This window comes from Homo sapiens, chromosome 9, assembly GCF_000001405.40.
Source record: "Homo sapiens chromosome 9, GRCh38.p14 Primary Assembly".
NCBI lineage: Eukaryota > Metazoa > Chordata > Mammalia > Primates > Hominidae > Homo > Homo sapiens.
In genome coordinates, this window is record NC_000009.12 from 69,875,761 (window position 1) to 69,887,779 (window position 12,019).

Consider the following 12,019-nt stretch of genomic DNA (forward strand, 5'->3'; position numbering starts at 1 on the left):
CCATCTACTCATTACCCAGTTATAATGTAAGTTAATATTTTTACTATACATGCTTCAATGTTTTTAAAGAAATGGTTTATCATGATTTATATGGCCATTCAATATATCCATTTTCTTGCAGGACATTAGCTTCCAAATTTTCACTATTACAAATAAGGCCACAGTAACTGTCATTATACACATCTCCTTGAATATATATGTAAGAGTTTCTTTATACACCATAAATATTACAATTATAAATCACCAATTCGCAATAACATTTTTTAAAAAAGAGTTTTCTTTATACTCAGAATTGTTGGGTAATAAGACATATGCACCTTCAATTTTGCAAGATATTGCCACTAGTTTTGCTTGAACATATTTATTGTTTCATATCCTTATAAATAGGGATTTTTAATTTTTATCAATCTAATAGATATTACATGGCATTTCATTGTTGTTTTACTTTGCATTTCACTAATTACTAAATTTGATTTGCAAGAGTTTTAAAGGCTGGGCACAGTGGCTCAGGCCTATAATCCCAGCATTTTGGGAGACCAAGGCAGGTGGATCTCTTGAGGCCAGGAGTTCAAGACCAGCCTGGCCAACATGACAAAACCCCATCTCTACTAAAAATACAAAAATTACTTGGGCCTGGTGATGCATGCCTGTAGTTCCAGCTACTTGGAAGGTTGAGGCAGGAGAATTGCTTGAACCTGGGAGGCAGAGGTTGCAGTGAGCCATGATTGTGCCACTGCACTCCAGCCTGGGGATGACAGAGTGAGATTTTGTCTAAAAAGAAAAAAAAAAGAGTTTTAAAAAATTAATTCTGTTATTAATCCTCTTTTGGTTAGATTTATTTTATTGATCCTCTTTTGGTTAGATTTATTTCATTTTATTTTACTATTTTTTTGAGATGGAGTCTTGCGCTGTCTCCCAGGCTAGAGTGCAATGGCGCAGTTTTGGCTCACTGCAACCTCCGCCTCCTGGGTTCAAGTGATTCCCCTGCCTCAGCCTCCCAAGTAGCTGGGACTACAGGCACCCGCCAGCACGCCTGGCTAATTTTTGTATTTTTAGTAGAGACGGGGTTTCACCATGTTGGCCAGGCTGGTCTCAAACTCCTGACCTCAAGTGATCCACCTGCCTTGGCCTCCCAAAGTGTTGGGATTACAGGCATGAGCCACTGCACCCAGCCTTTTGGTTAGATTTATAATAAACATCTTCTTCCAGTCTATGACTTTTCTGAAAACTTTGTTTATAGTATCTTTTGATCAACAGAAGTTTTAATTTACAATTTAGTCAAGACCTAAATATGAAATGTCAAATTCTAAAATTTTAGAAATTTCATATATAATGCATACATATATACGTAATATACATGTAATTATATATGCTTATATGTAATATTTTTATAAGACTAAAGGTTTAGCCCAGCATCACGTGACTCACTCTTTCCTCACTAACTTGTAAGGCCATTTCCATCATACACCAAATTCCTATATTTAAGCAGTTCTGCTTCTAGGCTTTACATTTTCTCAATTGGTCTATTTTTATACTGACTCTCTTTGGCACTTCATAGAGTCATATGACTATTAGGATTTGTTTGTCAAGTTCTACAAAACACCTTATTGGTGTTTAGATTGGAAGTGCTTTAAATTTTTTGGATGGAATAATTGCTATCATTATATCCACCATTCCACACGTACATAAATTATTTTACGTTTTTCCACAACATTTTGTATTTTCCCCATAAATGACTTGTATATCTTCTGTTACATGTATTCTTATAGGAAACAGATATTTTGTTGCAAGTATAAATGGGATTTTCCTCCTTTGATTATGCTTTCTAATTTCTTGTTGCAGGTATATGGCTATGCTATTTTTGTATATTGATCTTTTATCCAACAACCTTGCTGAAACTTGCCTATTGTTATAATTTGTAGATTCTCTTGTATTTTTAAAAATGTAAACAACTTTGTCATCCATGGAAGATGATGATTTTGTTTCCTTTATTCCAATTATGCTATTTGCTAATGTTGATTTTGCTTGTCTTTCTTGTTTTACTGCATTTTCTAGGCTCTCTAGTGCATTATTGAATAGAAATGCTAATGGAGGACTTCTGTGACTGGGACTATTTCAGGGGGAGAATTTTCATGAGCTTAGTTTTTATTCTTCTTTATTGTGTTCTTCTCATAGTAATGTTGCCTTGTTCTGTTCATTTAAAGTATGATGGATTTTCCTGGACTAGCAGCAATCATAGATAATTCTATCCAGGAGGAATGAAAACTTTGGGCAGTTTGCTCAATATCCTAGTTCAAGAGTGCCCTCTTCAGTTCTAACAGTGAAGTGAGGCTTATTTAATTAATGACACGTTTCTGGGGTGGTGAAACATAGGAGGGAGTGATGTTTACTGATAATCGTGATACTACCTTACAGCCCTAGGATCCTTATTTTCTTGTGTTTTATTTCTCATTTTTCTTTACCTTCTAGTTGTACTGCTCCTTCCCAGAAGCAGTGTCTTCCCAAGACTATAACTGTGGTCCTGGATACTTCCTTGAAAAGTCATGCTTCAGATCTTCTGGTCTTAGACTTGTTCTTACGATTTCCTCATCAGGGAAGGGCGTTCTCCTTCTGTGGGTGCTGTCCTCTGTGTTTCACCCCTGCTAGAGACTTGCCACCTCTCCTGTCTTCCATATAATCCCTGCCTGATTCTGTTTCAGCATGGGCTCTGATTTGGCTCTACGGATTCTGGACTGTTCTACCTACATGTAAATCCAAGTTTGTGGTATTCCCTATCCTTCACTATGCTCTACCTCTGGGCAATTGTGAAGTTTTATTTGCTTTACTGTTGACCTGTATGGTTTTGGAGGATGTATGTAGAGATTTGGATTTAAGGAACCAAAGGGTTGAGAAATGTGTGTTACAATCTTCCTGCATAAATGTGGATTTGTCATTTTATTTCTGTGATTCTGGTCTATTTTTGTCTTACGTATTTGTATTGGGCTGTTCTTGCATTGCTATAAAGAAATCCCTGAGACTGGGTAATTTACAAAGAAAAGAGGTTTAATTGGCTCACAGTTCTACAGGCTTTATAGGAAACATGGTGCTGGCATCTGCTCAGCTTCTAGGGAGTCCTCAGACAGCTTTTACTCATGGCAGAAGGTGAAGGGGGAGCAGGCACATCGCATGGCAGAAGCAGGAGCAAGAAAGAGAGTTGGGGGGCAGGAGCTACACACTTTTATATGACCAGATAGTGCGAGAACTCACTCACTATTATGACGATGGCACCAGGCCATGAGGGATCTGCCTCCATGACCCAAACACCTCCCCCCAGGCCTCACCTCCAGTATTGGGAATTACAATTCAACATGAGATTTGGGCAGGGACAAATATCCAAACAGTGTCAATATTCTATATGTTGTTAGGTTTATTGACATAAGATTGTTATATACTTTCTTGGTGACTTGCTCTTTTAATCAGTAGATAATGATCTTTGTAACTAGTAATTTTTGCTCAAAGTCTCTTACATAGGATGTTATTATAAGAATTCAATTTCCTTTGGTTAATATTTGCTATTGTTGACCAAAAGATCACCAGGATGGCTAAATAGTAGAAAGGAGAGCTTTATTGGAGATATTGGTTTGGAAGCTGGGAAGAGAAAGTCTCCAGCATGGACGAGGGGAAGCACAGTTTGGGTTTTATGCCTCACAGGGCCTGAATCATGCATATTCAGGAGGTTCGGGGGGAAAAGCTATACGTATTTATGAGGGAGCTGTGCGCATATGTAATGGATAAATATGCATATGACATACATCCTACGTTCACTTTGGGACTGGGTTTTAACATTAAAATGAGGTGGAATTTGGCTTTATCAAAGGGTGAACTTTAGGACACAAAGACAGTTTATGCACAGCCTCTATCAGCTGGCTGAAACTGTTTAAAGGTCTGCAATTGCTTATCAGAGAAGAAAGTTTGTAAGGCCAGTCCTTTATCCAATTAGAGTCATAGTGGTTTGGATCGTAAGTCAGAATTAGGACAATTGGCCTGATATCTCCTATTGTTAGGATATTTAGTGAGAATTTAGAAATTTGCCATGCCAAACCATCCCTGAATCCCCAACCCATAGGTAACTTTTTGTTTTTTTTTTAACCTTAGGTTCTGTCTTAGTTGATAAAGGGGCATCTATTTTGGTCTCTCACATCACACTGTATATACTTTTATATATTTTTGTTTGTTTTGGTTTATTTTTTATTATTTTATGTTTAATTTTTGTGGGTACATAGTAGGTGTATGTATTTATAGAATACATGAGATTTTGGTACAGGCATGCAATGCATAATAATCACATCATGAAAAACTGGGTATCCATCCTCTCAAGCATTTATCCTTTGTGTTACAAACAATCCAATTATACTCTTTTAGTTATTTTAAAGTGTACAATTAAATTACTATTGACTATAGTCCCCACGTTGTGCTATTAAATACTAGGTCTTACTCATTCTCTCTATTATTTTTTGTACCCATTCACCATCCCACCTCCCCACTATGCCATCCCTTCCCTGCCCTGACTATCCTTCCCATCCTCTGGTAACCATCCTTCTACTCCCTATGTCCATGAGTTCAGTTGTTTTGGTTTGTAGATCCCTCAAACACGGTGAGAACATGTGATATTTGTTTTTTTTGTGCCTGGCTTATTTCACTTAACATAGTGATCTCCTGTTCTATCAATGTTGTTGCAAAAGACAGAATCTCATTCTTTTTAATGGCTGAATAGTGGTTCATTGTCTATAAGTACCACATTTTCTCTATCCATTCACCTGTTGATGAATTCTTAGGTTACTTCCAAATCTTGGCTATTGTGAACAGTGCTGCAACAAACTTGGGAGTGCAGGTATTTCTTTGATATACTGATTTCCTTTGTTTTGCATATATACCCAGCAGTGGGATTGCTGCATCATATGATAGCTCAATTGTTAGCTTTTTGAGGAACCTCCAAACTGTTCTCCATAGTGGTTGTACTAATTTACATTCTTACAACAGTATATAAGGGTTTCCTTTTCTCCACATCCTCACCAGCATTTGTTATTGCCTGTCTTGTGGATATAAGCCATTTTAACCGGCATGAGATGATATCTCATTGTAGTTTTGGTTTGCATTTCTCTAATGATCAATGATGTTGAGCACCTTTTCATATGCCTATTTGCCACTTGTATGTCTTCTTTTGAGAAATGTCTATTCAAATCTTTGGCCCATTTTTTGATAGGATTATTAGATTTTTTTTTTCCTGTAGAGTTGTTTGAGCTCTTTATATATTCTGGTAACTAATCCCTTGTCAGATGGGTAGTTTGTAAATATTTTCTCCAATTCTGTGGGTTATCCCTTCGCTTTGTTGATTGTATCCTTTGCCATGCAGAAGATTTTTAACTTGATGTGATCCCATTTGTCTACTTTTGCTTTGGCTGCCTGTGCTTGTGGAGTATTGCTCAAGAAGTCTTTGCCCAGACCAATGTCCTGGAGATTTTTCCCAATGTTTTCTTGTAGTAGTTTCATAGTTTGAGGTCACAGATTAAAGTCTTTAATCCATTTTGATTTGATTTCTGTATATGGTGAGAGATAGGGGTCTAGTTTCATTTTCTGCATATGGAAATCCAGTTTCCCCAGCACCGTTTGTTGAAGAGACTGTCTTTTCTCCAGTGTCTGTTCTTGGCACCTTTCTCAAAAATGAATTCACTGTAGGTGTGTGGATTTGTTTCTGGGTTCTGTATTCTGTTCCATTGGTCTGTGTGTCTGTTTTTATGCTAATACCATGCTGTTTTGGTTACTATAGCTTTGTAACATAATTTGAAGTCAAATAATGTGACTCTTGCAGTTTTGTTCTTTTGGCTCAGGATAGCTTTGGCTATTCTGTGTCTTTTGTTATTCCATATACATTTTAGGATTGTTTCTTCTATTTCCATAAAAGATGTCATTGGTATTTTGATAGGGGTTGCATTGAATCTGTAGATTGCTCTGGGTAATATGGACATTTTAACAATATTGAGTTTTCCAAGCCATGAACATAAAATATTTTTCCATTTTGTGGTGTTCTCTTCAATTTCTCTCATCCATGTTTTATAGTTTTCATTGTAGAGATCTTTCACTTCTTTGGTTAATTCCTAGGTATCTAATTTTATTTGTGGCTATCGTAAATGGGATTAGGTTTTTTTTAAATTTCTTTTTCAGATTGTTCCCTGTTAACATATAGAAATGCCTTTTTTTTTTTTGAGACCGTCTTGCTCTGTCACCCAGGGTGGAATGCAGTAGTGTGATCATGTCTCACTGCAACCGCTGCCTCCCAAGTTCAAGCAATTCTCCTGCCTCAGCCACCTGAATAGCTGGGATTAGAGGTGTGTGCCACCACACCTGGCTAATTTTTGTATTTTTGTAGAAGCTGGGTTTCACCATGTTGCCCAGGCTGGTCTTGAACTCCTGGCCTCAAGTGATCCACCCACCTGGCCTCCTAAAATGCTGGGGGCATGAGCCACCATGCCTGATCTGCCACTGATTTTTGTATGTTGATTTTGTGTCCTGCAACTTTACTGAATTTGTTTATCAGTATAGTTTCTTTGGTGGTCTTTAGGATTTTCTAAATATAAGATCATGTCATGTGCAAACAAGGATAATTTGACTTCTTCCTTTCCAATTTGGATGCCCTTTATTTCTTTTTTTTGTCTAATTGCTCTAGCTAAGATTTCCAGTACTATGTTGAATAACAGTGGTGAAAGTGGCCATCCTTGTTGTATTTCAGATTTTATAGGAAAGGCTTTCAGTTTTTCTGCATTCAGTATGACACTAGCTGTGGGTCTGTCATATAAAGCTTTCATTATGTTGAAGTATGTTCTTTCTATACTCAATTTTTTGAGGATGTGTATTATAAAGGGATGTTGAACTTTTATCAAATACTTTCTCTGCATCAATTGAAATGACTGTATAATTTTTATCCTTCATTCTGTTGATATGATGTATCACACTGATAGATTTGCACAGGTTGAACCATCCTTGTGTCTCTGGGATAAATCCTGCTTGGTCATGATGAATGATTTTTTTAACGTGTTGTTGAATTTGGTTTGCTAGTATTTTATTGAGGATTTGTGCATCAATATTCATTAGAGATACTGGCCTGTAGTTTTCTTTTTTTGATGTGTCTTTGTCTGGTTTTGGAATCAGGGTAATACTGGCCTCTTAGAATGAATTTGGAAGTATACCTTCTGCCTCTATATTTCAGAATAGTTGAGTAGGATTGGTATCAGTTCTTTAAATGTTTGGTAGAAATCAGCAGTGAAGCCCTCATGTCCTGGGATTTTCTTTACTGGGAGATTTTTTATCTGTGATCTCATTACTTGTTATTGGTGTAAGAGTTAAAGAAAGAGGAAAGAAACACAAAAAGTGGCTCAACAGTCAAAGACAGGTTTATTTTGGAGAATAAACCTGAGAGGGGCTTCTGGCCGATTTCCGTCAGGAGCATTCTCTCATACAGACTAAGAGTATTTAAAGGTTCAGGGCTAGAGAACTTATCATAGGCTTGGAATGTTTCTGTGTTGGGGAGAAGTTTATGTGGGGTTGGAATGACTCTGGTTGGAGGGGAGGTTATCTTGGGGCTGACATCTCTCTGGTTGGGGAGGGGTTTATCTTAAGGTTGGAATGTTTCTGGTTGGAGATGTCATTTGTGGTTTATGAACATGCTGACCTTAGCCATTAGGCTGATGCCCTTTGGATTCAGGCAGTTTTTGATGAAAGTGAACTTTAAAATGGTGGTGTTTGTCCAAGATGGCGACGCTCCTGCTCTGTCAACTACCCTGTTCAGGTTTTGGATTTCCTCATGGTTCAGTCTTGGTAGGTTGTATGTGTCTAGGAGTTTTGCCCATTTCTTCTAGATTTTCTAATTTATTGGCATATAGTTTCCTGTAGTAGCCACTAACGATCCTTTGAATTTCTGCCCTATCAGTTGTAATGTCTCCTTTTTCATCTCTGATTTTATTTATTTGGGTCTTCTCTCTTTTTGTCTTAGTCTGGCTAAAGGTTTGTCAATTTTGTTTATTTTTTTAAAAAAAAACAATTAAAAAAAAATCATTCTTTTGTATTGTTTTCTTCATTTCAAATTCATTTATTTCTACTCTGATTATTATTTCATTTCTTCTACTAATTTTGGATTCAGTTTGCTCTTGCTTTTCTAGTTCTTTAAGATGCATCAATAGGTTATTTAGGTTATTTATTTGAGGTGTTTCTTCTTTTTTGATGTAGGCACTTATAGCTATAAATTTCCCTCTTAGTACTGCTTTCACTGTATCCTTTAAGTTTTGGTATGTTGTGTTTTCATTGTCATTTGTTTTAAGGAATTTTTCAATTTCCTTCTTAATGTTTTCATTAAGCCACTGGTCACTGAGAAGTACATATTTTAATTTCCATGCATTGGTATATATTTTTATGTATTTTTACTTTCAAGCTTCTTTGAAAGTAATTTTATTTTAGATATAAAAGCAGGTAGCTGATCATTAAAAATTGTTTTTATTTTAGAGACAGGATCTCTCTCTGTCACCTGTGCTGGTGCTGCTATAGCTCATGGCAGCCTCGAACTCCTGGCTTTAAGAGATCTCTTTCCTCAGCTTCCTGAGTAGCTGGGAGTACAGGTGCAAGCTACTGAGCCAGCCAGTGTAGGAGTTTTGACCTGCTGCCTTTCTGACCTGGGCTGGTTCACCCCTCCTTAGGCAATCTGGTGGTCCTGCTCCTGGGAGGTCACCATACTGATGTTGAACTTAGTGTGGACACCCCATAGGCATACAGCACTATAGCTCAGAACTCCTGGGCTCAATTGACCCTCCTGCCTCAACCTCCTGAGTAGCTGGGACTATAGACACATGCCACCGAACATGACAAATAGGAGGTTTTTTTTTTAAATACAGTTTGATGTTCAATTTAAGTCTGAGAAAATATTTTCACGGATAGGCTTAACCCCTTTATTTTTATTATAATTGCTAAGATATTTAATTTTATTTTTATGATTTTAATTTGTTTTATGAGCAGAAATAATGTCCCCCTGTTCCTTTTATTCTCCTTTCCTGACTTCTATTAGATTTGTCTTTAAAAAAAAACCCATTTGATGGTTTGAAAGTTACATTTCTAATTTTTGTTGTTTTAATCATTAGTACTCAAACTCTAGTGTACATCAGAATCACCTGAAGGGCTTGCTGAGATATGTATTGCTGGGTCCCACCCCTAGAGTTTCTAATTTAGTTGTTTTGTGGTGGGAACCAAGTATTCGCATTTCTGTTCCCAGGTACTGCTGCTACTACTCAGGAAATCACCACAACCTGAGGGCCTGGCAAGAATTGGTGGTTACCACCCAGGTATCCAACAGCCCGTCTAAGTTGGACTTGTTATTTTGGGATTCTTGTTGGGGTTCTGTTACTTTCTCACCAGCTCAGCCATGCGTTAAAACTTCTTAAAATTTCCTTTTACCCTGGTTTTTCAGTATGCAATACTCAGAGGAGTTTCTTTGGCCATCCAGTCCCATAATATTGCCAGGAATGGAGGTGGGGTTTTAATTTATCATAAGAGAATAATTTTTCCCCTACTGTGAACTCAAGCAGAGAGAAACTTTCTTGCAAGTTTCTCTGGATTGATAGCTGAGGTTTCTCTGGTTTCTTTTATATGGAGGTATAACCTTTACAGATTCTTGGCTGCAGTTGGAGTTCAGCTCTCTGCCTCCTGTGAATCTAAGGCCAAGTCTCTTACTCTAGATGTGTGGGTCAAATTCCACATCAGTTTATGATTTCCCATTATAATGACTATCCTCTTCAGTTCTAGCACCTCAGGGTTTCCCTTTTGGGCTTGGCTATACTTGTAGACTTTGGGGGATGAGTGTGGATGTATTTCATCCAGCATTTCTGTGTGTTTAATGGGGTGGAGGTTGGGAATGTTATGTAATCTCAGTCTATCTGGCTGTCCTCCACTATTCTTCAGCGGTCACCTGGCAAAGAATGTGGGTCAAAAAGTTCATAGAGGCAGGAAGTTGGTGGTAAAGAGAATCCTTGGAATGCAGAGCTCCTGAGCTCAGGGACTTGAGCCTGGGCTTTCACACATATCATTAGTACAGGAGAGTAGTAGGTGGTGCTAAATTGGAAGTACAGTAGTCTCCCCTTATTCATAGTTTTGTTTTCCACAGTTTCAGTTACATGAGGTCAACTGCAGTCCGAAAATATTAAACAGAAAATTTCAGAAATGAACAATTTGTAAGTTTTAACTTGCAGGTGGCTCTGAGTAGTGCCACAAAATCTTGTGTCATCTGGCTTCATCCAGTTCAGGACATGAATCCTCCCTTTGTCCAGTGTCTCCACACTGTCTACTGTCCCTGGCTGTTAGTCACTGAGTAGCCTTCTTCATTATTAGATTGTCATGGTATTGCAGTGCTTGTGTTCAAGTAACCCTTATTATACTTGATGATGGCTCTAGAGTGCAAGAGTGGTGGTGCAGGCATTCAGATATGCTAAAGACGAGCTGTCAAGTGCTTCCTTTAAGCACTTTAGGTGCTTAAAGATGAAAGTTCTCAACTTAAGGAGAGAAAAAAAAATCGTATGCTGAGGTTGCTAAGACCTATGGTAAGAACAAATCTTTCATCCTTGCAATTATAAAGAAGAAAAGAAAAATCCATGCTAGTTTTGCTGTTGTATCTCAAACTGCAATAGTGAAGGCCATAGTGCTTGATAAGTCCTTAGCTAAGATGAAAAAGGCACTATATTTGTGGGTAGAAAACGTGAACAGAAATGTGTTCTAATTGACAGCAATTGGATTCAGTACTATCGGAGGCTTCAGACATCCACTTAGGGGTCTTGGAACATATTCTCTAAGGATAAGGGAGACTGCTGAAATTGAAGTAAGGGGTACCCTGCTGCTGGTGGGCAATACTATATACAGAGGCTGGGACAGTTGTGGGGTTTTAAATTTTGATTAGGGCCAATCCTTCCTGAAATGTTTTTATTTCATGTAAAGTGTATACCAATAAAAATGTAAAATATTTTTCGTTTTTGAAGTCATTCTTTCCTCATTGACTTATCCCTCTTAGGTGTGCATTGACAACGTACTCAGAAGATTATGTTCCACCATATGATTATCAGCCACATGTGAGTACAAGAACCGTAGTCTTCTACCTATTTGTGTACTTGAAATGATTATTTGCACCTAGTATAGTCAAACTTGGGAAGAAAGGAGAAATTGCTAAAGCTTATGATATTTTACATTTATTTTGAGATATTAGCTGTTTATTGGAATCATGACAATGTTTTATGGTTATGATTTATTTTTGGATGTTTATCGATTTCAGGGAAAAATATTGCCGTATCTAAAGTATATTAGACACTTTCTTCCTCATCTTGTTTACTTGTCCCCTCCCTGAATTCAATTTATCTGGAATAAGAACCCACTTTCTATTCATTTGTATTGCATCAACACATAAAAATAAGTGGCTTAATATAGCTCTGGGAAATATGTATGTTAATTTAAGAATGTCCAGTTTATAACTTGAATGTATTTCTACTTTACAAATTATGCAACAGAAACAAAACAAGGCTGCTTCCAATTAGCCTTATTCTGAAAATCTTAACCAGGGCAGTAGACATGAGATAGAAATAAGATATTTAACTATTGGTAAAGAAGAGAAAAACATCTTATTTTCCAATAGTATAATTATCTATTCAGGAGAACCAAGATATTAATCTGAGAAGTAATTAGAATAAATAAGACAATAGCTTTCCTTCACATCAACACTAACAGTTAATAAATTATAAAAGAAAAAAGCATACTAATTATTATTAGCAACACAAATTCAAAATTCTTTAGTGAGGAAAGTTTCACCAGGATCAATAAAAGATAATGTGGCAGTTTATCTCCAAAGATGGCAGACCTTCCTGTTGGCACAAGCCACTCACCATTGAAGGTGAGGATTCCTCCATCTCGAGTTGAGGTGATCAGTAGAACATGGCAAAAGTGACTGTGTGCCAGTTCTAAG

At 37.2% G+C, this 12,019-nt stretch overlaps 1 protein-coding gene and 1 pseudogene across 10 annotated transcripts in view; one reads left to right on the forward strand and one right to left on the reverse strand.

Moving 5' to 3' along the window:
• Positions 1 to 12,019, forward strand: part of CFAP95 (cilia and flagella associated protein 95) — an 85,411-nt gene that overhangs the window by 54,944 nt on the left and 18,448 nt on the right. For 6 of the 10 annotated variants that reach the window (XM_011518229.3, NM_001010940.3, XM_011518234.4 and 3 more), the window contains one exon: positions 11,078 to 11,135. The exons of 1 other annotated variant lie outside the window; for it this stretch is intronic. In XM_011518229.3, the coding sequence (XP_011516531.1) occupies positions 11,078 to 11,135 (58 nt within the window). Of the gene's footprint in view, positions 1 to 9,292; positions 9,363 to 11,077; positions 11,136 to 12,019 lie in introns of all 10 variants that reach the window. 3 more of the 10 variants (NR_131756.2, XM_011518230.3, XM_011518231.3) reach the window with 1 other exon arrangement.
• Positions 8,603 to 8,894, reverse strand: RN7SL570P (RNA, 7SL, cytoplasmic 570, pseudogene; annotated as a pseudogene).